Raw genomic sequence first — 24,696 nt, 5'->3', positions numbered from 1 at the left:
GTTAAATGTCCATAATTCAAGACCTCAAAATCTTGGTCAAATAACCTGAAAAAGTTTATGCAACCAACCCATGCTGACCCAGCCTCATCTTTACATATTCTGGTGAAAATCTTGGGCAGAGAGAATTCTTTTGAGCTACCAGGGATGTGTGGTAATATCATAAGAATACATTAATATATTCCATGTCCTGCGTAAAATTTTTTATTTTTAAAACAAAGCTACGATTAAGAGTTTTTTATTTTTTTTTAAATGAATGTAAGTAAAACCTAGTTAGACTCTCAATTGCCCTTTCTCTTTTTACCTCCTTAACTAACTTATCTACTGTTTCTTTTCCCCTGCTTTTCTGTCTCCAAATAATGGTCATTTATTTCTCATTAATATCATACCTAATCACAAAGAATGTAGGAATCAAAGGCAAGTATAATATAATAAAAAAAGTAAAAAAATAGTAACATGGGCAATAACTAAAGTCAATTATGCAACTTACAGTTCATTTCTTCTCTGAGAAAAATAATGTACTATAATAGTTTTAAACAGAAAACTCTTAAGAAGAACAAATGTAGGCATCCCAGAGCATTGAAATAGAAAAACATGGCTTTCAAAAGAGACAACAGCTGAAATAATCACATGGTTGAATCATGTATAAGAATATAACAATTTTAAAAATCTCCACAAATTAGAAACTCAAAAAACTTACTACCAAAGTTTTAACATAAATATGTAGAAATAACTTAATTAAGAATGGAGCATAATATATAATTTGAGTCTAATAGGAAAAAAGTTTAAAATTTTTTAATAATAAATTATTCAGAAATCTTTGTGACAGCATTGAAATTTTACTTTAACTGATAAATATTTTAGAAATAAAATTACTGTAAGAATGAGTCCTATTTCTTTAAGTTTTAATGCTCAAATTAAAACTGTGATTATTAAAGTGAAAAAATCTTAACTAAAGTTACTTGATTTTTAAAAAACGGGTAGAAAGGTATAGAAATAAATGAATATATTAATTCTGCACTGCTGGAGACAAATCCATCAAGCAAAATGAAAAAAATATTTCCCTTATACAACTAGGTGATTCAACAGAAAATTATAGCAGTTATTACTCTTTATCTTTCATTTTTGGCGAGCCCAGGACTCTTTATGACTGTGGCACATAATGGGAAACTCATTGATCACAGTAGATTTTTTTTTTTTTAACACCATCAGCACACTTTCACTTTGTAAGTAATCTACCAGTTACCATGCTACTGACACTTTAGATCTCTGGATGCATACAGCTTTCACATTAATGAGAAACATACCTTTTACTTATTACTATTCCCTGACACATGCACACACATAAATATATAGACATATAGAGTCCTACACAAAAATACTACCAAACCTGTAAATGTTTTTGCTTTATATCTTTGAGAATTTCCAATTAGCTATTCTACCTTGTTTTATTTACCTTGTAAATCAATTTTGTCTGTTTATGATAGTCAGTAGTTTTCTTATATCTCTTTTATGTAGACAATTATAGAATAATGATGCCAATGATTACATGAAGTATGTTTTCTTATAAAAAGCAAAAGACAGAGCATGGGAAATATGACTACTATGCAAATTATATAAAATAAAGAATTCATTAGCTGTATCTCAAATACACTCTGGCAACATTATGAAAAACCAGCACTAATTCTTTTTTTATTGAGATATAATTTACACATAAAAAATTTTTCCTTTTAAAGTGAACAATTCAGTGGTTTTCAGTATACTCACAAAATTGTACAACCATTACCATCATCTAATTTCAAAACATTTTTATCATCCACAAAATAACCCCTATGCCTATAAGCTGTCATTTCCCATTTCTCCCTTCCTTCAGCCTTTGGTAGCCACTTGTCTACTTTCTGTCTCTTTTACCTATATGAGCATTTCACTTCAATAGAATCATATAATATATAACCTTTGCATGTCTGTATTCTTGCACTTAGCATAATATTTCAAGGTTACTGCATGTTGTAGCATGTTATAGAAATTTATTCATTTTTATGGCCAAATACTGTTTCATTGTATGGATATATGTTGTTTTATCCATTCATAATTTGATAAACATTTAGAATGTTTCTACTTTTTGACTATTGTGAATAATGTTACTATGCACATTCATGTACAAGTTTTTGTGGGACATATCCTTTTAATTTTTTTGAATATATATCTAGGGGTAAAATTGCTGGGTCACATGGTAATTCTGTGTTTACATTTTTGAGAAACTACCAAATTGTTTTCCACAGTTTCTGTACCATTTTGCATTTCTACTAGCAATGTAGGAGGATCCCAATCTCTCCACATCCTTGAAAATCCTTGTTATTTTCTGTTTTTCTTTTAAATTATAATCATCCTAACAGATGTGAAGGAATACCTTATTGTGATTTTATTTTACATTTCCCTAACTATCAATAATGTTTAACATCTTTTTATGTGCTCATTGGCAATTTGTATATCTTCAAATTTTTTAATTGGATTATTTGGGCTTTCTAAAATTATTAAAATGTAAGAATACTTTATATATTTTGGATAAAAGCCCCTTATCAGATATATTATTTGAAAACATTTATCTCATTGTGTGGGTTATCGTTTCACTTTCCTGATAGTGCCCTTTCAAGCATAAAAGTTTTAAATTTCAATAGAAAGTTTTAATTTTTCTTTTACTGATTATGCTTTTGACGTGATATGTAAGACAAAGATTTGTGCCTATGTTTCCTTTAAGAGTTGTATAATTTAAGCTCTCAGTTTTATTTATTTGAGTTAATTTTTGTACACGGTATAAGGTAGGGGTCTAGCTTTATTCCTGCAGATGTGAACATTCAATGTGCCCAACACTATTTATTACATAGACCTTTCCTCATTGTGTATTCTTGACGCCCTTGTAAAAGATTATTCAGCTATATATGCATGGGTTTTATTTCTGAACTCTCTATTCTGTTCAATTGGTCTAGTGTCTGTTTTCATGCTAATACCACACTATTTTTATTATTATAACTTTGTAATATTGTTTAAAATCAGGAAGTGTGATACCTTCAGCTTCTTTCTTCTTCCACAAGATGCTTTGGCTATTAGAGATTAATTTAAAGAATTTTTTTTTCGTGTTAGAGATGCCATTGTGATTTTAATAGGGATTGCATTGAATCTATAGATCACTTTGGGTAGTATGAACATTTTAACAATATTAATTATATCAGTCCATGAACACAGGATATCTTTCCATTTTTCGTGTCTTCAATTTTTTTTCATTAATGCAGTATCGTTTTCTAGCATACAGATTTTTTACCCTTTTAGATTAACTTCATTCCTAAGTATTTTATTGTTGTTAATGCTATTGTAAATGGAATTGTTTTCTTGATTTCTTTTTCAGATAGTTCATTATTAGTGTAGAGAAACAAAATTGAATTTTGTATGTTGCTTTTGTATCCTTCAACTTTAATGAATTTCTTTATTCTAACAGTTTTATGGTAGAGTCTTTAGGGTTTTCTACATGTAACATCATGTCTGCAAACAGGAACAATTTTGCTTCTTTCTTTCTAATTCTGGCGCCTATTATTTATTTTTATGCCTAATCACCCTGGCCAAGATTTTCAGTACTATGTTTAAGAGAAGCATTGAGAGTAAACATCCTTGTCTTGTCCTAATCTTAAGAAGAAAAGCTTTCAACTTTTCACCATTTAGTATGGTGTTAGCTTTGGGCTTGTAATATAAGGCCTTTATTATGTTGAGGTACATTTCTTTTATAGTCACATTGTTGAGAGTTTTTATCATGAAATGATGTTGGATTTTGTCAACTTTTTGCATTAATCGAGATGATCATATGATTTTTATCATTCTTTCTGTTGCTGCAGTGTATGACATTTATTGATTCGTGTACATTGAACCATCTTTGCAGCCTAAGGATATATCCTACTGAATCATCATGTATAATACTTTTAATGTGCTGTTGAATTTGGTTTGCTAGCATTTTTTTGAGAAATTTTGTATCTAAGTTCATCAGGGATATTGGCTTGTAATTTTCTTTTCTCAGAGTGTTCTTATCTGGCTTTGGTGTCAGGGTGAAGATGGCTTCACAAAATAAATTTGGAAGCAAGTGTTCTCACTTTTTCAATTTTTTTGAAACACTTGAGAAGGATTGGTGTTAATTCATTAAATATTTGAAAGAAGTCACCAGTAAAGGCATCTGCACCTGGGCTTTTCTTTGCTGGGAAGTTTTTGATTACTGATTCAATCTTCTTGCTGAATATTTTTCTGTTCAGATTTTTATTTCTTCATAATTCAGTCTTGGTAGATTGTACTTATATTAGAACAATAGACTTTAAGTCTAAAATAATCACAAGAGACAATGAAGGTTATTATTTAATGATAAAGGGGTCAATAAATCAAGAAGATAGAACAATTGTAAATATTTATATACCACACATGAATATCTAAGCATATAGAGCAAATACTAACAGAACTGAAAGGAGAAATAAATAGCAATAATGGTGGAACTTTATTGCTCCACTCTCAATAATGGAGATACAGACAGAAAATCTTTAAGGAAATAGTGGGTTCAAACAAAACTATAGACCATATAGACCTAATAGGCATACACAGAACATACTACCCAGCAGCAGAATACACATTCTTCTCCAGTGCAAATGGAACATTCTCCAGGACAGATCATATGTTAGGCCACAAAAAAAATCTTAACAAATTTGAGAAGACTGAAATCATATCAAGTATTTTTCCAATCATAAAGGTATGAAAGTAGAAATTTATAACAGGAGGAACATTGAGAAATTCACAAGTACATGGAAATTAAATAACACACTTCTGCACAACCAATGATTAAAAGAAGAAATATAAAGAGAAATTTAAAAATTTCTTAGAAACAAACAAAAATAGACACACCACATACCAAACTTATGGGAAATTGTAATCAGTGTCTTTCTGAAGTCATTTATTCTGGCATCAGATTTGCACAAGCAATGACCTTGGCAAACTTGTCACTGAATTTCTTGGCTGCTTCATGATCAGCAGATGCTTTATCACCATAAAAGTTTAAAAATTTAATGCTGTGACTTTTCTTAATGTTCTGCAACTAGCCTGTTGAACATTTACAATACCCTTCAATTTTCAGTTCATTGTGATAGATCTTAGTTTCCTCATCAACATACTATTGAGTGTCATGTGTTCACTGAAATGCTGATAGATCCACCCCTTCAGTACGTAAACGAAATCTTCATTTTTAGCTTTATGCAGTGTTTTCCTATTTTTCTTCTGTTCATCCCTTTCAGCATAGAATTTTGACAGTTTATCCTTCTGTTTCTTCAGGTCATATATGGTGGTCATTGTGACACCATACTTCTATAAGGCATTTCACATTTACACCACTGCTCAGTTTCACCAATAGCCTGATTTTCTGTGCTATATACAAAAATGCTTTCTCGCTCTCTTTAAAAAAAAAAATTTCTGGATGTTACTAGTCAAGTTTATATAAATCAGTCAATAGGGACTTATTATTGTAACATTAAGATCAATACATACACTGATTTGGACTTTTCCTTTTTCGTTATTTTATTTTACTGTAGACTCACGGAGTACATGTGCAAGTTTGTTGGACAGATATATTGCATAATGGTGAGGTTTGGGCTTCTAGTGAAGCCATCACCCAAATAGTAAACATTGTATCTGATAGGTAATTTTTAACCCTCATCTCCCTTGCACCCTCCCCACATTTGGAATCTTCAGCAGCTATTTTCATGTTTATGTCCATGTGTATCCATTGTGTAGCTCTTACGTATAAGTGAGAACAAGCAATATTTGATTTTTTTCTGTGAGTAATGTCACTTAGGATACTGCCCTCCAGCTCCATCCATGTTGCTGCAAAGGACATAATCTCATTCTTTTTTATGGCTGTGTAGTGTTCCATGATAAATGCACATAGCATGAAATACAGTCCATAACAGGTGATTGGATTAAAAATGCGGTAGGTATATATACCATGGAATCAACCTAAGTGTCAATCAACATATACCAATATGTATGCACACATATACCATGGAATGAAATCCGTAACAGTTGTTTGTATTAAAAACGCGGTATATTCATATGTACCATGGAATCAACCTAAGTGTCAACTGTTGATTGACATTTAGGTTGATTCCATGACTTTGCTATTGTGAATAATTCTGCCTTAAACATACCAGTGCACCCTGTCTCTACTAAAAATACAAAAAATTAGCCGGGTGTGGTGGTGGGCACCTGTAGTCCCAGCTACTCAGGAGGCTAAGTCAGGAGAATGGCGTGAACCCAGGAGGCGGAGCTTGCAGTGAGCCGAGATCACGCCACTGCACTCCAACCTGGGCGACAGAGCGAACATACCAGTGCAGGTATCTTCTTGATAGAATGATTTCTTTTCCTTTGGCTAGGTACCCAGTAGCGGAATTGCCACGTTGAATGGTAGTTCTATTTTTCGTTCTTTGAGAAATCTTCATACTGTTTTCCATAGGGTTTGAACTAATTTAATATTTCCACCAACAGTGTGGAAGCATTCCCTTTTCTCCCTTGGCAACATCTGTTATTTTTTGACTCTAGTAATAGCCTTTCTGACTGGTGTGAGATGGTATTTAATTGTGGTTTTAATTTGCATTTCTCTGATAATTAGTGATGTTGAACATTTTTTCATGTTTGTTGGTTGCTTCTATGTCTTCTTTTAAGGAGTGCCTATGTCCTTTGCCCACATTTTAATGAGGTTCTTTGTTTTTTTCTTGTTGATTTGTTTAAGTTCTTTATAGATTCTGGATATTAGACCTTTGTCAGATGCATAGTTTGCAAATACTTTCTCTCTTTCTATAGGTTTGTCTTTTTGCTCTGTTGATTATTTCTTTTGCTATGCAGAAACTCTTTAGTTTAATTAAATGGTGCTGGGAAAACTAGCTAACCATATGCAGAAGAATGAAACTGGACTCATGTTTCACCATATACAAAAATTAACTCAAAATGGACTACAGACTTAAAATGTAAGACATGAAACTATTAAAGTCCTAGAAGAAAACCTAGGACAAACTTTTGGACATTGGCCTATGCAAATAATTTATGACTAAGACCTCAAAAGAAAATGCAACAAAAACAAACATAGACAAATGGGACTTTCTCTTTTTCTTATTATTGTTACCCATATGGGTATTGACAGGCCTTTTTGACATTTTCAGCATTATCTTTTCACCACAGAGCAGAGAATAAGCAAAACAACAACAACAGAAACACAGTGATTAATGTATGTAGGTTTTAGCTCCACTCGGGCCATTATGAGGAACCTACTGTTGGTACTTCTAACCGACACTCCTGCTATCGTATTACCCTCTGTGGGTGTGCTTGCATGAGGAAATCTGAACAAGCCTGTAAAAGACATATTACAAGGGAAGAGGGCTGGGAGCGTCCCTTGGGGATGCTAAATAAACTGTGTGTTATGTGCCTGCATTTTGACTGTGATCCATCACAGGAGATGAGGTGTGAATACTTCCACTTGTGGCATCATGTTGCTACTGAAAAAGTTTTGGATTTTAGTACATTTGGATTTTGGATTTTTGCCTTAGAGATGCCCAATCTGTACTTTTACTTCTTCCTTTCCACTATGGGAGACTTCCTTTCCTTTTTCTTGATTAATTACCCTGGCTAAAACTTCCAGTAAAATACTAAATGGAAGTGGTGACAGTGGATATCTTTGCCTTGTTTTTAATCCTAGGAGAAAGTATTCAGTATTTCACCATTAAATATGACATTTTGCTATAGGTTTATACAATTTCTTTATCAGATTGAGAAAATTTCCTTCTGTTTCTAGTGTGTTGAGTGTTTTTTATTATAAATTGGAGTTGAATTTTGTCAAATGCTTTTTAAGGTATATATTATGATTATAACAATCTACTAATTGGTATATTACATTGATTGATTTTCATATGTTGAACCAAACTTGCATTCCTGGGATAAATCCTACTTAGTCATATTGCATAATCCTTTTCGTGTGTTGGTAGATTCGTTTTCTATTATTTTGTTGAGAGTTTGCGTCTATATCCATAAAGAATGTTGTCTGCAGTTTGCTTTTCTTGTGATGTCTTTGTTTTTGATATCAGTTTAATACGGGCCTTGTGAAAGGAGTTGGAAAGTGTTCTTTCCTCTTACATTTTTTAGAAGATTTTGAGAAATATTGCTGTTAATTGTCCTTTAAACATTAGGTAGAGTTCACTGGTGAAGCCTTCTGATTCTGGGCTTTTCTTTGTGGGAAATTTTTTTATTGTGGATTTAATGTCTTATTTGTTATAGTTCTATTCATATTTTTAATTTCTTCTTGAGTCATTTTTAGTAGCTTGTACCTTTCCAGGAATTTGTCCATTTCACCTAGGTTATCCAATTTGTTGATATACAATTATTGATTGTATTCTCCTATAATCCTTTTTAAAAAAATTTTATAATGTCAGTAGTAATGCTCCCTCTTTCATACCTGATTTTAATAAACTGAGTACTCTCTTTTTTTTCTTGGTCAGTCTAGCTAAAGGGTTTTCAGTTTTGATGTGCTTTTTCTTAGGAACTGAGATGAGCTGCGGAGAAGTGAGCTGCTAGAGTAGCCAGTTAAGACATTAAGCAAAATAAATGTAATATTAATAGTTAAGCCTTTAATCACTTACTGCAATAGTATTGATCAAGACACTAAACCAGAGAAAGCACTGATTCCTGACCCCCTTACCCAGCCCCAGTTTATTTCCTCCCACTGAATGGCACTGGTCAGTTGTCAGATGGATCTGCACAGATGTCAAGATGATCTCAATATTGAGAGAACCCGGAACAAAAGCTTCTTTCAGTTTTATGGACCCAGGAGCCAGGTGAAAGCAAGGGAAAAGGACTTGGAGTGGAAAAGTATTGAGTATTCAGTCAGAGTGAAAAAAAGTATCTTTAGTGTTTCCTTCCTCCTTTCCCCAATAAGGAATCTCTGCAGAGGTACCCAAAGAAGGCCTCTGCTATGGCTCCAAATAAAGAGACCTCTGAATGGGGGCCTAGTCCAGGAATGCTGACATATGTAAGAGCATGACAGGTCAGCGAGGTCTTAGTTCTTGACTGTAACTCTCATCAGAGATGGCAATGCACCAACTGTGCACAAAATCTGGGGAGGCAAGGGGGCAGCTTTCTCCCTTTAGGCCTGCCAGTAAAAGCCTTTCCCTGTGGTGTCTGCCTTCAAAAATGATACAAAGGTTTTTGGCTATTACCCCGACTTCTCACTTTCAAAGAACTAACTCGTTTTCTCGATCTTCTCTATTATCTTTCTATTCTTTATTTCATTCATTTCTGCTCTTATCTTTTTCTGCTTGCTTTGAGTTTACTTTGTTTTTCTTTTTCCATTTTCTTAAGGTGGAAGGTTATGTTGTTTTTTTTTTACATGTGCATGTTTATTACATTGATCTATTGCTTAATGCTGGAATTTGAGTTTCTAGTAAACACATCCCTCAAGTAGTGAACATGGTACTCAATAGGTAGTTTTCCAATCCTTGTCCCCCTTCCTCCCTTCCCGCTGGTGGATAAAGAAATTATATTTATCCACTTGTTGATTGATGGGCATTTGGGCTGTTTCCATATTTTTGCAATTGCGAATTGTGCTGTTATAAACTTGCATGCGCAAGTATCTTTTTTATATAATGATTTCTTTTCCTCTTGGAAAATAGTGGGATTGCTGGATCAGATGCAGTTCTACTTTTAGTTCTTTAAGGAATCTTTACACTTTTCCATAGTGGTTGTACTAGTTTACATTCCCACCAGCAGTGTAAAAGTGTTCCTTTTCACCACATCCCTGACAACATCTATTATTTTGTGATTTTTTTTATTATGGCCATTTTTGCAGGAGTACGGTGATATTTCATTATAGTTTTGATTCGCATTTCCCTGATCATTAATGATGTTGAGCATTGTTTCATATGTTTGTTGGACATTTGTATTTCTTTTGAGAATTGTCTGTTCATGTTCTTAGCCCACTTTTTGATGGGATTGTTCGGTTTTTTCTTGCTAATTTGTTTGAGTTCCTTGTAGATTCTAGATATAAGTTGTTTGTCAGATGTATAGATTGTGAAGATTTCCTCCCACTCTGTGGGTTGTCTGTTTACTCTGCTGATTGTTTCTTTTGCTGTGCAGAAGCCTTTAAGTTTAATTAAGTCCCATCTATTTATCTTTGTTTTTGTTGCATTTGCTTTTGGGTTCTTGGTCATGAAGTCTTTGCCTAAGCCAATGTCTAGAAGGGTTTTTCTGATGTTATCTTCTAGAATTTTTATGGATTCAGGTCTTAGATTTAAGTCTTTGATCCATCTTGAGTTGATTTTTGTGTAAGGTGAGAGATGAGGATCCAGTTTAATTTTTCTACATGTGGCTTGCCAATTATCCAAGCACCATTTGTTAAATAGAGTGTCCTTTTCCTACTTTATGTTTTTGTTTGCTTTGTTGAAGATCAGTTGGCTGTAAGTATTTGGATTTATTTCTGGGTTCTCTATTCTGTTACATTGGTCTATGTGCCTATTTTTGTACCAGTACAATGCTGTTTTGCTGACTATGGCCGTATAGTATAGCTTGAAATCAGACAATGTGATGCCTCCAGATTTGTTCTCTTTGCTTAGTCTCGCTTTGGCTATAAGGGCTCTTTTTTGGTTCCGTATGAATTTTAGGATTTTTTTTCTAGTTTAGTGAAGAATGATAGTGGTATTTTGATAAGAATGGCATTGAATTTGTAGATTTCTCTTGGCAGTAAGGCCATTTTCACAATGTTGATTCTACCCATCCATGAGCATGGGATCTGTTTCCATTTGTTTGTGTCATCCATGATTTCTTTCAGCAGTGTTTTGTAGTTTTCCTTGTAGAGGTCTTTCACATCCTTGGTTGGGTATATTCCTAAGTATTTTATTTTTTTTGCAGCTATTGTAAAAGGATTTGAGTTCTTGATTTGATTCTCTGCTTGGTCGCTGTTGGTGTATAGCAGAGCTACTGATTTGTGTACATTAATTTTGTATCCTGAAACTTTGCTGAATTCATTTATCAGTTCTAGGAGCTTTTTGGAGGAGTTTTTAGGGTTTTCTAGTTGTACAATTATATCATCAGCAAACAATGATGGTTTGACTTCTTCTTTACCGATTTGAATGTCCTTTATTTCTTTCTCTTGTCAAATTGCTATGGCTAGAATTTCCAGTACCGTGTTGAAGACGAGTGGTAAGAGTGGGAAGCCTTGTCTTGTTCCAGTTCTCAAGGGGAATGCTTTCAATTCTTTTCCTTTCGGTATTATGTTGGCTGTTGGTTTGTCATAGATGGCTTTTATTTCATTAAGGTATGTCCCTTCTGTATTAATCAGGTTTCTCTGGAAGGACAGAACTAATAGGATATATGTATATATGAAAGGGAGTTTATTAAGGAGAATTGACTCACACAATCACAAGGTGAAGTCCCACGATAGGCCATCTGCAAGATGAGGAGCAAGGAAGCTAGTGGTGGATCAGTCCGAGTCCCAAAACGTCAAAAGTAGAGAAGTTGACAGTTCAGCCTTCAGTCTGTGGCCACAGGCCCGAGAGTCCCTGGCCAGCCACTGGTGTAAGTCCATGAGTCCAAAAGCCAAAGAACTTGGAGTCTTATGTTTGAGGGCAGGGAGCATCCAGCAAGGGAGAAAGATGAAGACTGGAAGACTCAGCAAGTCTAGTCCTTCCACATCCTTCTGCCTGCCTTATTCTAGCTGCGCTGGCAGCTGATTAGATGGTGCCCACCCAGGTTGTGGGTAGACCTGTCTCTCCCAGTCCACTGACTCAAATGTTAATCTCCTTTGGCAACACTCTCACAGACACACCCAGGAACAATACTTTGCATCCTTCAATCCCATCAAGTTGACATTCAGTATTAACCATCACACCTTCTATGCCAATTTTGCTGAGGGTTTTAATCATAAAGGGATCCTGGATTTTGTCAAATGCTTTTTCTGTGTCTATTGAGATGATCATGTGATTTTTTGTTTTTAATTCTGTTTATGTAGTGTATCACGTTTATTGACTTGCATATGTTAATAGATTGTTAATTTGGGGGTTTATATTTTAAAAATATATGTTTATAGCTATAAATTTCCTTCTTTTTTTATTATACTTTAAGTTCTTACATCACTGGTCATCGGATAAATGCAAATCAAAACCACAATGAGATACCATCTCACACCAGTTAGAATGGCGATCATTAAAAAGTCAGGAAACAACAGGTGCTGGAGAGGATGTGGAGAAATAGGAACACTTTTACACTGTTGGTGGGACTGTAAACTAGTTCAACCATTGTGGAAGACAGTGTGGCAATTCCTCAAGGATCTAGAACTATAAATTTCCTTCTAAACACTGCTTTGTTTGCATTCCATACACTTTAGTGTTTTGTGTCTGTACTAGTTTTTAATCTCAATGTACATTCTAATTTCCCTTGTGGTGTCTTCTCTGATCAATTGGTTGTTTAGGATTACGTTGTTTCACTTTTGCTTATTAATGAATTTGCTCACTTTCCTTCTACTATTAATTTCTAATTTCATTCCATTGTGGTCATAAAACATACTTTGTTTAATTTCAGTTATTTTAAAGTTATTGAGATTGGTTTTGTGGACTAATATGTAGTCTGTCCTGGAGAATGCCTCATGTTGATTTGCAGGACAGGGCTCTGGCTAACCTTGGCTGGCCCAGCTCTTTCCGCCATCTCACTTGTAATTTTCGGAATAGCTATAGAATGTGCCGAGAACACAGCATCCTGAGATAAGGAGAAACTGTTTGGAACAATCTGGGCTCTATTTCTGTTCCTCCTAGAACAGGATGTCCTACAATGTTTTAGCACAGTAATCTAAGTTGTCTCTGTAGTATAAAAAACAGAGCAGAGTGTTTTTGGGGTTCCTCAGTTGCAGTGAGATGTGAGGCACTTGCAGAGACTCAGTCCACCACCCTGGGCAGCTTTCACCACCCTGGGCAGCTTTTCCGAGACGTAGGGACTGGCTTGCCGTAATTCATAGCTTCTGCTGTCCCTTGCTACATACCTGTGAGTAACTGAATTGCTTTTCTTAATTTGTATGAGTGTTCTGTCTCACTGGACTTCTGCAAGTGATAAAAATTACAGCCCAAGATGTAGTGTACAGAAGTGTTTCAACTTTTAGTTCTGGTGGTTGGCATTGCGATGATCTTTGTTATTCTCCATGTAGTAGGAGTTCTCCTCTGGAATTAGTAAATGGCTCATGGTGAACCTGGTCCAAAGGACTTGTGAAGAATGTATATTCTGCTGTTGTTCTGTGGAGTGTTCTATAAATATAATTTAGGTCCATCTGATTTATAGTGTTGTTCAAGTCTTCTGTTTCGTTAATATTGTGTCTAGTTGTTCTATTCATTATTGAAAGTGAGGTATTGGAGTCTTCACCTATTATTGTTGAATTGTATATTTCTCCTTCAGTTCTATCAGTTTTGCTTCATGTATTTTGAGGCTCTTGATCATTATGATTGCATACATATTTATAATAATCATATCTTCTTTATGGATTGACCCTTTTTTCATAAAATATCCTTTTTGTAAATAATTTTTAATTATTAAAGTTAAATTATAATTATTTAATTAATCCTTTTTAAAATAATAGTTTTAAGTCTATTTTATCTGATAGTAGTATGTTATTCCAGTTCTCTTTTAGTTACTGCTTGTATGATATATCTTTTTCTATCCTTTTACTTTCAATCTAATTCTGTCTTTGAATTTTAAAATACGTCTGTTGTAGTCAGCATGTAGTTGAATTATGTTTTCTATTCATTCTAATGGTCTCTGCTTTTAAGTAGAGGTTTAATCTATTTAAACTTAATGTAATAACTGATAAAGTAGGATATATGGCTGCTATGTTTTAATTTTTTTATATATGTCTTATGTAATTTCTGTTCATTACTCTATTACTGCTTTCTTTTGTGTTAAATAGGATTTTTCTAATGTACTATTTTAATTCCTGTGTAGTTTCTTTTGCTATCTATTTTTGTAGGATTATTAATACTAAATTTATAATAACCTAGTTTAATGTCTACTTAATCTCAATATTTTGTAAAAACTTTGCTCTTATACAGTCCCATTTCCTCTTCTTTTATTTATCTATTGTTGCTGTGCAAATTGTATCTTTATACACAGTATGCCCATCAGCACGGATTTATAATTATTGCTTTTTTTATACCATTGTCTTTTAAATCAAACAGGAAAAATATTAGAAACAAAAAATTCATCTATACTGTCTTTTATATCTACTTATGCAATCTGTTTGGTTCTCTTTATCTCTGCATATGGATATGAGTTACTGTTTAGAATAATTTCATTTTAGCCTTAAGAACTACCTTTAGGTTAGTTCCAAGTCTTTGCTATTGTGAATAGTGCTGCAATAAACATACATGTGCATGTGTCTTTATAGTAGAATTATTTATATTCCTTTGGATATATACCCTGTAATGGGGTTGCTGGGTCAAATGGTATTTCTAATTCTAGATCCTTGAGGAATTGCCACACTGTCTTCCACAATGGTTGAACTAATTTACACTCCCACCAACAGTGTAAAAGCATTGATAGACAGGATAAAGAAAATGTGGCACACATACACCATGGAATACTATGCAGCCACAAAAAAGGATAAGTTCATGTCCTTTGCAGGGACATAGATGAAGCTGGAAACCATCATTCTCAGCAAACTAACACAATAACAGAAAACCAAACACCATATGTTCTCACTCACAAGTGGGAGTTGAACAATGAGAACACATGGACACAGGGAGGGGAACATCACACACTGGGCCTGTGGGAAGCTTGGGGGCTAGGGGAGGGATAGCATTAGGAGAAATTCCTAATGTAGGTGATGGGTTGATGGGTGCAGCAAACCACCATAGCATGTGTATACCTATGTAACAAAACTGCACATTCTGCACATGTACCTCAGAACTTAAAGTATATAAAAACAAAAAAAAAGAACTACCTTTAGTATCTCTTATAGGGTAGGTCTTCTAATGACAAAGTCTCTCAGTGTTTGATTATATGGGAATGTCTTAATTCTTCCCTCTTTTTTTGAAGGACAGTATTACCATATGGAGAATACTTGGTTGACAGTTTTTTCTTTATTCACTTTGAGAATGTCATTTCAATACCTTTAGGCCTCCATGATTTTTTTAATCAGAAATTAACTTAGTTTCTCATTTAATTATCTTGGCTTAGTCTGCTAATGCTGCTGTAACAAGATATCTGATATTGGATAATTTGTAAAAAATAGAAATGTATTTCTCACAGCTCTGGAGGCTGAGAAGTCCAAGATCAATGTACTGGCATTTGATGTCTGGTGAGGGCCTTGTTGCCACATCCTCACATGGTGAAAAAAATGAAAGGGCAAAAAAGGACAAACTAGTTCCCTCCAGTTTTTACATAAGGCACTAATTCCATAATGAGGACAAAGCCTTAATGGCCAATATCACCTCCTAAAAGACTCCAGCTTTTACTTCACCTTTTAATACTGTTGCACTGGAGATTAAGTTTGAGCATGAATTTTGGAGGGGATGCAAATATTCAAATCATAGCAATACTATTGAGGATTCTTTGTATGTGTTGAGCTTCTTCTCTCTTGATGCTTTCATGGTTATTGCTTTGGCTTTGGCTTTTCGCAGTTTGCTTCTGAGATTTTTAAGTATAGATCTCTTGGAGTTTATTCTACTTTGATTTACGTGTGCTTCTTGGATGTGTAGACTAATGTTTGCCATCAGATTTGGAAGATTTGGCTTAATTTTTCAAATTTTATTTATGTCTTTTCTCTACCACCTCTCTGTTTTGACTCTCATTGTACATATATTGATATACTTGATAGTGTCCCATAGGACTCTGAAGCTCTATTAATTTTTCTTCACTCTTCTTTCTTCCTGTTCTTCAGGCTGGATAATCTTGATTAATCTACCTTCAAGTTTACTGATCCTTCTGCCAGTTGAACCTTCTACTGAGTCCCCCTACTAAAGTTTTCATTTCAGTTATTGTACTTTCCAACTCAGAACCTTCTGTTTCTTTTTAAACAATCCTATCTCTGTATTGATAATTTCTATTTGATGAGACATTGTTTATGTCAGGTAGCATTCTGAAAATATTTAAAATAGCTATTTATAGACAACATCTTTTCTAGTATATCCAACATCTGATATTCTTCACATAGAGTTTCTATCCTATCATTTCACTCTTGTATATAGCCTATATTTTCTTGTTTCTCAGCATGTCCTGTAATAATTATTGAGAACTGGACATTTGAGTTGGTACAATGTGGAATCTCTGGAAATCAGATTTCTCCTATCCCTAGGGTTCGTTTCTGTTGCTGTTGTTCTATGTTTCATTTGTTTAATTCATTTCTGAACTAATTCTGTAATATCTGTATTCTTTGTCATGTGTGGCCACTAAAATCTTTACTCATTAGTGATCAGCTAATAATTAGATGGAGATTTACTTAAATACCTGAAACCAATAAGTCTCCTAGGCTTTGCTAAGGGAGTCAGTGTGTGTGGTGGGGCTTGCCTTCAATGTCAGGCAGGCAGTTTACAACTCTCTTAGTTCCAACTTCCTGATTACACAAGGCCTCAAACTCACCCAGAAGTGAGAACATAGGGTCTTCTTAGGTCTTTCCTGGGCATGTACATAAACCAGTTTATAAGTGGCTCTCTGGATTCTGGGAAATATTTCAGAACTTTTTAAAACCTCCCATGGACATTTCATTCCCCAAGTTCTTTTTGGATGTTTTGTTCCACTTGTTTTGCACCATGTGTTATCAAAACTTCAAGCAGTTATAATGTTAAACTACTGCTACTGATTGTTTTTGACAAATGCCGTAGGAAAAAGGCTGTTCACACTGGTAGAGTTCTGAGTTGGGTCAAATAAAGATAAGACTTTTGAATATTTCCATGCTCGTGCATTAATTATATAAAAGGACAAAAAAAGACAAGATTTTGAGTGGGATTATTCAGGGGACTACCAATAGATGAAATGACAGTTTTCTGGGAAGAAGAACACCTTCCAGCCCTTTTTTTTTTTTTTTTTTTTTTACTGTCCCATGTCTGCGAGGCTGCGGGCTTTCACCATGACTGCATGGGGCTTGGTTTTTAAGGCTCTCAAAGGACTGGGGAACTGGGATGGGACTAGGACAAAATACACACCACAGAGTTCACTGTTCTTACTGAGATTTAGCTGTTTTACTTGAGTAAATGATCTTGAGATTGTTGGAAGCCTTTGGTTAATTTCTAGAGTTCTGAAAGAGTAAAATTCAACTGTTTTTGTCAGAGTTCTTGTTGCTTTTATGAAGGAGATGTTTTTGTATGTCCTTACTTTGCCATTCTCAATGACATGTAGCAGCATTTCTTGAGATGGCATTCTTCTTGTTCTCCAGGGGTTTTTGACGGAAACAAGTTATAGTCAGTAGTATATATTAACATAACAAATATTTTTATAATAAAATTGTATTTTTATTTGTTTATTTTTTTCTAAGACAAATATTTGTTGAAATTAAAAACTTCCTAAAAACAAAGCTTTTGACATGTTAATAGAATCCAAATGAGTTTTAAAACTTTTAGATATAACATCTTGATCTATACAAGTCTCCAAATGATGAATTGGCCTTGAAACCATTAGATTGAAAAGAGAATGACTGTCCAAGGCACAGTCACTGTTATTATTCTTATGTTGATTATTATTGATTATAACAACTATGTATTGAGTTTTGCTATGTGAAATGTTCAATGCTATTTTCTGGGAGAAATACAAAGCAGAAAAAACCTATATTTGCAATTTAATACAAAAAATTCCATTACATTATTAAACACTATAGTTATCAGTCACTAATATTTAAACATATAAAATTTATTATTACAGATAAGTGAATATATCAGATTCCCTTTTTACTTAAAGAAGAAACATATATGACATATTACTAATTGATAAAAAAAGATTTCCTGCATTATAGCTTTTATTTTATAATATACTGTACATAATTTTTAATAACAATGACAAAAGAAATGTAACCTTCCTTCTAATGTTTATTTACTGCTTTTATTTCTTTCCATACTATCTCTTTATGAATGCAAATAACACAAATTCTTTTGATTAATATGTTCATAATTTTAGAATGTGGGATAAGAAAAACAGTCTTTAAAGAAAACATGAACAAGAAAGCACTTGCTGATTCCCAGCTGTCAGATGCCAATGAGTCTGGTGATTCTTTCCATTGCAGTTCTGTGTGTGGGCAGTAATGTAGTCCAAGTTTTCCTTCCTTTTTCTGTTTCTTATCATGTTTGTTTTAGACTACTGCTGTTGGGTGCAGCTGAAACCCATCTCACATTGAGTAGGCCTGAAGACAATTTCTCCCTATATCCTTTTTAATCTAATTCCCCTATTGATGGTAAGCATCTTTATTTCCACCCAAGTAAGAATCAATTTGCAAGTCTTTTGTTGCAAGATGAGAATGTGTTCCCCCCAAAATTAAAATGATAAATACTTTTACATCTACAAAAATGTTACGTTTCAGTGAGAGATCTGGTGAGTAGACTTACTTTCAGAAAATGTTTCTTGCAGTATTAAATTTGAATGCTCCTTGTGTGTTCTCTTCCAAACCATAAATAGGTGATCCTCAAAGGAGTAAAGTGGAATATTAAATGTAAATGCTGATCCAAACTATTTACTTAGGTTTTGGGGGTCTTAAAGACTGAATTGAACAAAATATTTAAAATGATTTTTTCCTTGATGCTTCTGGAAAATTACCTTCTTTTTGCATATGAACAAGAAGATTTTGAGGGGAACAGTGTCATCTTATAATCACTGTATCACTACCACTATAAGACTGTTTATAGAAGGAAAAAAATACAAATAAGCCTCCAATCTTAATTTAGCCAATAAAAATTCTTCATGTTTACTTACTAGATCTAGAAAATAGAGGTATAATGGACTAGTGAATTTGATGTTTACTTCCTTTTATTTCCCTGTTCTTACAGTGTAAACGCTGATAAGAGGAGCCATATTTAAAAAAAAAAAAAGACAAACTGAATTCTAGAAACTGTACCTTAGTGAGTTCCAAGCTTGTCTTCCTACTCTGTTAGATTCTGTGATGCTGATCTATGATTGAATCTTCCTTTAAACAAGGATAATGATATCTATTTCCCAAATTTTATATAGATTTTAGAAAATGTGAAGGTTAAAGTGCTATATACACATGAAGCATTATTGCAGATAATATATTGTAGATAATACTCGTTTGTGCTACAAAGGAAAGAAATGCATTAAAAGCTGAGAAGGAGAAATAAGGTTTCTAGCAACTATGCTAAAAACTTAGAGAACAAGATTCCAGACAGATGAGAATGTATTATAAGCCAAATAAATTAATTTATTTAATACACTTTTCTCAATAGTTTGTCAGTGAATCTGAAGTGTGGGTATCATTTTCTTCATATTCCAACCTGATAGACTTTCTTGGCACTGGTCATTTTCACAATCATTATTTCTACCACCATCCCAACAATGTAAACAAATAATATGTAAGAAAGTCCCATCTTTGTATGGTGCCATTTGTGGCAAACAGTGCTAAGCATTTACCAAACTAGTTTCCATTCTTCTTGGGCACATAGCTGAAACCACAGTTTCCAGCTTGCCTGGCAATTAGGAGATCCATGTGGCCGAATTCTGAACAATAGAATGTGTGTGAAAGTGATGTAATGCAATTCAGATCCGAACCTAAAAATACTCCCCTTTATAACTCTTGAGCTTTTTTCCTATCTTTAGCTTAAGAGAGAGGGCTCCATGGATCCAGAAAAAGGGAGGGCCCAAGAGGAAAGGAGCCCAGGTCCCCCAATAACTGAATGGAGTGACACGTGACTCGCCTTTCTCCAACAATCCACTCTCATTGAAATGTGACTGAGTGAAATATTTTCACTGTGCTAAGTCACTGAGATTTTGGAATTGTTTTTTATATCAGTTAGCCTATCTTTACTATTCTTACATTGTAGTATTCTATTGTCAGTTTAATATAATATTCTGGCTATCTATATTATGAAAAGAACCTGTCTATGTAGTCAATTTAGAGTTCAATTAGTTGGATAAATAACATTTGTAATGGTTATCTGTCTGACAGGGTATGAACTAAATAACTGACTAGTTGATCAAATCTTCAAAAATCAACTTGGTGTTTGAGTATTACATTTGTAAATATAACCATAGTGCTTGCTTTCTGGGAGTTTAAGGTAAAACCTTCAGTTTCCATACTGACATATGAATGAGATGTTAAAAGTTGCTGTCTGGGTTTCTATTTTTGTGAGAGACTACTAAGCCTTGCAATGGGAAAATAACCAGACACACAACTGCCAGTTGGCTTTATGTCTTTCAAGTATGGGGAATAATTGAAGGACAAAATGGAGAACTGCTGACATATTTGGCCAAGAAAAATGAGTTGAACAGAATTCCTGCCAATTTGAGCAAATGTTGCCTTCAACAACAAAGTTAAACAAACAGCAAAAAGATAAGTTTGGGTTTTAACTGTTGGAATCATGTTGGTTGCAATTTTCTTGAAGTTAAAAGGCAGACACCACTGCTACAGTTTGTAATGAAGCATATCTTATCCAACTCCAAAAATAAGCCTAAAGAAGGATGATGACTACCAACAAGTTTGGAAGAGCCACGATATTAAGCTTTCTAATAGGAAGTCAAAGCTTTCACATGCAGAAAAATTAATAAGCTCTTTTGTCATCAGTCAAATGCACCTTTTCATCATAAAAGAAAAGATTACTAACAATATAATTGTAATGGTGAACTTGGGACGTTTGAATTTCTGAATATTATAGCTGGAAAACTGCTATGCAAACAAATATACTTAGAAACTGAATACTAGGTCATCACTCAGTATTCCAGTAAATACAAAGAACCATTGACACATGCCTCAGGAACATAAAAATATGCTGTTAAAACAGTTCATCAGAGGGACCAGTCTAAATTATATAATTATGGTACAAAAATGAAATCTCATAATATGGTGTGTTAAGAAGGGCAACTGCGTGTAGCTTCTCATTCTGAAAAAAGACAGAGCTCCATCTATAAGGCGACATCTTTATAACCCTTTTATATACCAGCTTTCATGTTATTTTCCATAAAATCAGTGATGATTCTGAAGAACCAGAGGTTGATACACTTGAGTCATTTGAAAGAGTCAACTTGAGTAAGGAATTGAAGGTTCTTGTTTTAGTCTGTTTTCTGCTGCTATAACAGAATACCACAGACTGAGTAACTTAATAAAAGAGATTTATTTCCTGGAGTTCTGGAGGCTGGGAAGATCGAAAAGGTTGTATCTGGTAAGGGCCTGCTTGCTGTGTTATAACATGGCAGAAGGCATCACATGGCAAGAGAGCACACAAGACGAGGAAAGAAAATTGAGTGAAACTCATTCTTTCTATCAGGAGTCCACTCCCATGATAACTAGTTCACTTTGCATTAATTCATTCACAAAGGCAAAGCCTTCATGGCATAATCACCTCTTAATGGTGCCAGCTCTTAATACTATTACAATGGCAATTAAATTTCAACATGAGTTTTAAAGGGGACATTCATATCATAGCATTTGTGTACCTTAGTGATTTTATTCTGTCACTAAAGAGAGGTAAGCTTTAGCCTGAAAATGCTGGATCTTTTTCTCTTTGGTATTCTCTTACCCAGAAGTGTTAGCTTCCTGGAAATGGTAAGGGATGGAAATATTAAAGCCATTTCAAAACTATGATTTTTGCTGAGACAACTGCCAGTTAAGATTCATAGATATAGATATAGATATTATGCCTATGAGAAAATACCTAGTTAGTTGACCTAAATAACTAAGATTCACTAATTAAGTATAAAAACAATAAACAAAATCAAACAATTAGTAGCTTTAATAAATGTGTACATACTGAAGTAACTAAAGTACCAAACCTTTATTTTGTAGATTAAGATAAAAATTAGAGGCAACTGACAAGGTAATTCAGGAGAAAACATGTACATGGTGAATTAGTTTAAAAAGTGCATTATGACAGCTTTGGAAGAAATACAAAGACAAAAATAATGACATTAATTTTATTATTTGTTTTGTTAATAACAAAATGACCTTTATATAAAGATTTTCCTAGCAAATAGTCTAATGATCTTATATTAATACTTTAAAAATAGTTTCTAAAAAAGTTATTTTTACCATTTATATCTCTTTTGAAAAGAAAGCACTTTTGTTAGACTTTCAGTGAGATGAGAAAATTGTTTTTATTCTTTCAAAGTCTCAGCTTTGTTTCCAGATTTTATTCAGATGTTTTTCTGAAAACAATGGTGCATCAAAGAGGATAAAGGTGGGAAGAAAAATCAGATGAAGCTTGTTAAAGTAGTATGGCACTGGTAAATAGCCGTGTTTGCATGCTCTTTCTTTAAAAAAAAAAAAAACCTTTTATTTTAAGTACAGGAGTACATGTGCAGGTTTGTTACATAGGTAAACTTGTGTCATGAGAGTTTGTTGTACAGATTATTTCATCACCCAAGTGTTAAGCCTCATACCCATTAGCTATTTTTCCTGATCCTCTCCTTCCTCCCACCCTCAACCCTCCAAAAGACCCCAGTGTGTGTTGTTCCTTTCTATGTGTCCATGTGTTCTCATCATTTAGCTTCCACTTGTAAGTGAGAACATGTGGTATTTGGTTTGCTGTTTCTGCTTTAGTTTGGTAAAGATAATGGCCTCCAGCTCCATTCACGTCCCTGCAAAGGACATGATCTCGTTCTTTTTTATAGCTGCATAGTATTCCATGGTGTGTGTGTGTGTCTGTATGCATAGAACGTTTCCTTTATATAGATAGGTGATAGATGATAGCTAGATAGATAGATATCACATTTTCTTTATCCAGTCTATCACTGATGGGCATTTAGATTGATGATTATATGTCTTTGCTATTGTGAATAGTGCTGCAATAAACATACATGTTCATGTGTCTTTATAATAGACCAATTTATATTCCTTTGGGTATATACCCTGTAATGGGATTGCTGGGTTGAATAGTAATTCTGTCTTTTGGTCTTTGAGCAATTGCCACACCATCTTCCACAATGGCTGAACTAATTTACACCCCCACCAACAGTGTGTAAGCGTTCATTTTTCTCTGCAACCTCACCAGCATCATTTTTTGACTTTTTAATTTTAATAATAGTCATTTTGACTGGTGTGAGTTGGTAACCCATTGTTGTTTTGATTTGCGTTTCTCTAACAATCAGTGATTTTGAATTTTTTTTCATATGATTGTTGGCCACATGTATGCCTTCTTTCGAAAAGTGTCTGTTCATGTCCTTTGTCCACTTTTTAATGGAGTTGTTCTGTCAGGTCTCTTGAAAACCAGATAGTCGTAGGTGTGTGGTCTTATTTCTGGGCTCTCTATTCTGTTCTGTTGGTCTATGTGTCTGTTTTTGTGCCAGTACCATGCTATTTTGGTTACTGTACCCCGTGGCATAGTTTGAAGTCTGGTGAGGTGATGCCTCCAGCTTTGTTCTTTTTGCTGAGGATTGTCTTGGCTATTTGGGCTTTTTTTTGGTTCTATATGAATTTTAAAATAGTTTTTTCTAATTCTGTGAAGAATGCCAATGGTCAGAAATAGTATTGAATTTATTCAATGTTTGTTTCATGGGGGTTTGTTGTACAGATTATTTCAACAAACTGCTTTGAGCAGTATGGCCATTTTAATATTCATTCTCCCTATCCATGAGCATGGAATGTTTTTCCATTTGTTTGTGTCATCTCTATTTCTTTGAGCAGTGGTTTGTAGTTCTCTTTGTAGAGATCTTTCACCTCCCTAGTATTCCTAGGTATTTTTGTTATTGTTGCAATTGCAAATGGGAGTTTGCTTCTGATTTGGCCCTCTGCTTAACTGTTTTTGGTGTATAGAAATGGTCACGATTTTTCCCATTAATTTTGTATCCTGAGACTGCTGAGGATTACCAGTTTAAGAAGCTATTGGGCTGAGGCTGTAGGGTTTTCTAGATATAGGATCATGTCACCTGCAAACAGGGATAGTTTGACTTCCTCTCTTCCTATTTGGATGCCCTTTTTTCTTTTTCTTGCATGACTGCCCTAAGACTTCAAATACTGTGTTGAATAGAAGTGCTGAGAGAGGGCATCCTTGTCTTGTGTCAGTCTTCAAGGGGAATGCTTCCAGCTTTTTCTCATTCAGTATGATGTTGGCTGTGGGTTTGTCATAAACAGCTCTTATATTTTGAGGTATGTTCCTTCAATATCTAGTTTATTGAGAGTTTTTAACATAAATAGATGTTGAATTTTATCGAAAGCCTTTTGGTTTTGTCTTTAGTTCTGTTTATGTGATGAATCACATTTATTGATTTACATATGTCAAACCAACCTTACATCCCAGAGATAAAGTCTACTTGACATAGTGGATAAGCTTTTTGATATGTTGCTGGATTCAGTTTGCCAGTATTTTGTTGAAGATTTTTGCATTAATGTTGATCAAGGATATTGGCCTAAAGTTTTCTTTTTTGTTATATCTCTGCCTGGTTGTGGTATCAGGATTATGCTGGCTTGATAGAATCAGTTAGGGAGGAATTCCTCCTCCTCAATTTTTTGGAACAGTTTCA

At 34.1% G+C, this 24,696-nt stretch overlaps 2 long non-coding RNA genes across 2 annotated transcripts in view; one reads left to right on the top strand and one right to left on the bottom strand.

Annotated features, from left to right (window-relative positions):
- The window catches only part of LOC100506869 (uncharacterized), a 220,968-nt gene that overhangs the window by 18,013 nt on the left and 178,259 nt on the right, over positions 1-24,696 (bottom strand). The window lies entirely within an intron of this gene.
- Positions 12,941-24,696, top strand: part of LINC02388 (long intergenic non-protein coding RNA 2388) — a 215,758-nt gene continuing 204,002 nt past the window's right edge. The window contains exon 1 of the long non-coding RNA NR_120452.1: positions 12,941-13,086. This is a non-coding gene — a long non-coding RNA (long intergenic non-protein coding RNA 2388). The remainder of the gene's footprint in view (positions 13,087-24,696) is intronic.

The sequence above is a fragment of the Homo sapiens genome, chromosome 12, assembly GCF_000001405.40.
Source record: "Homo sapiens chromosome 12, GRCh38.p14 Primary Assembly".
Lineage (NCBI taxonomy): Eukaryota > Metazoa > Chordata > Mammalia > Primates > Hominidae > Homo > Homo sapiens.
This window is presented reverse-complemented; position numbering and strand designations above follow the sequence as displayed.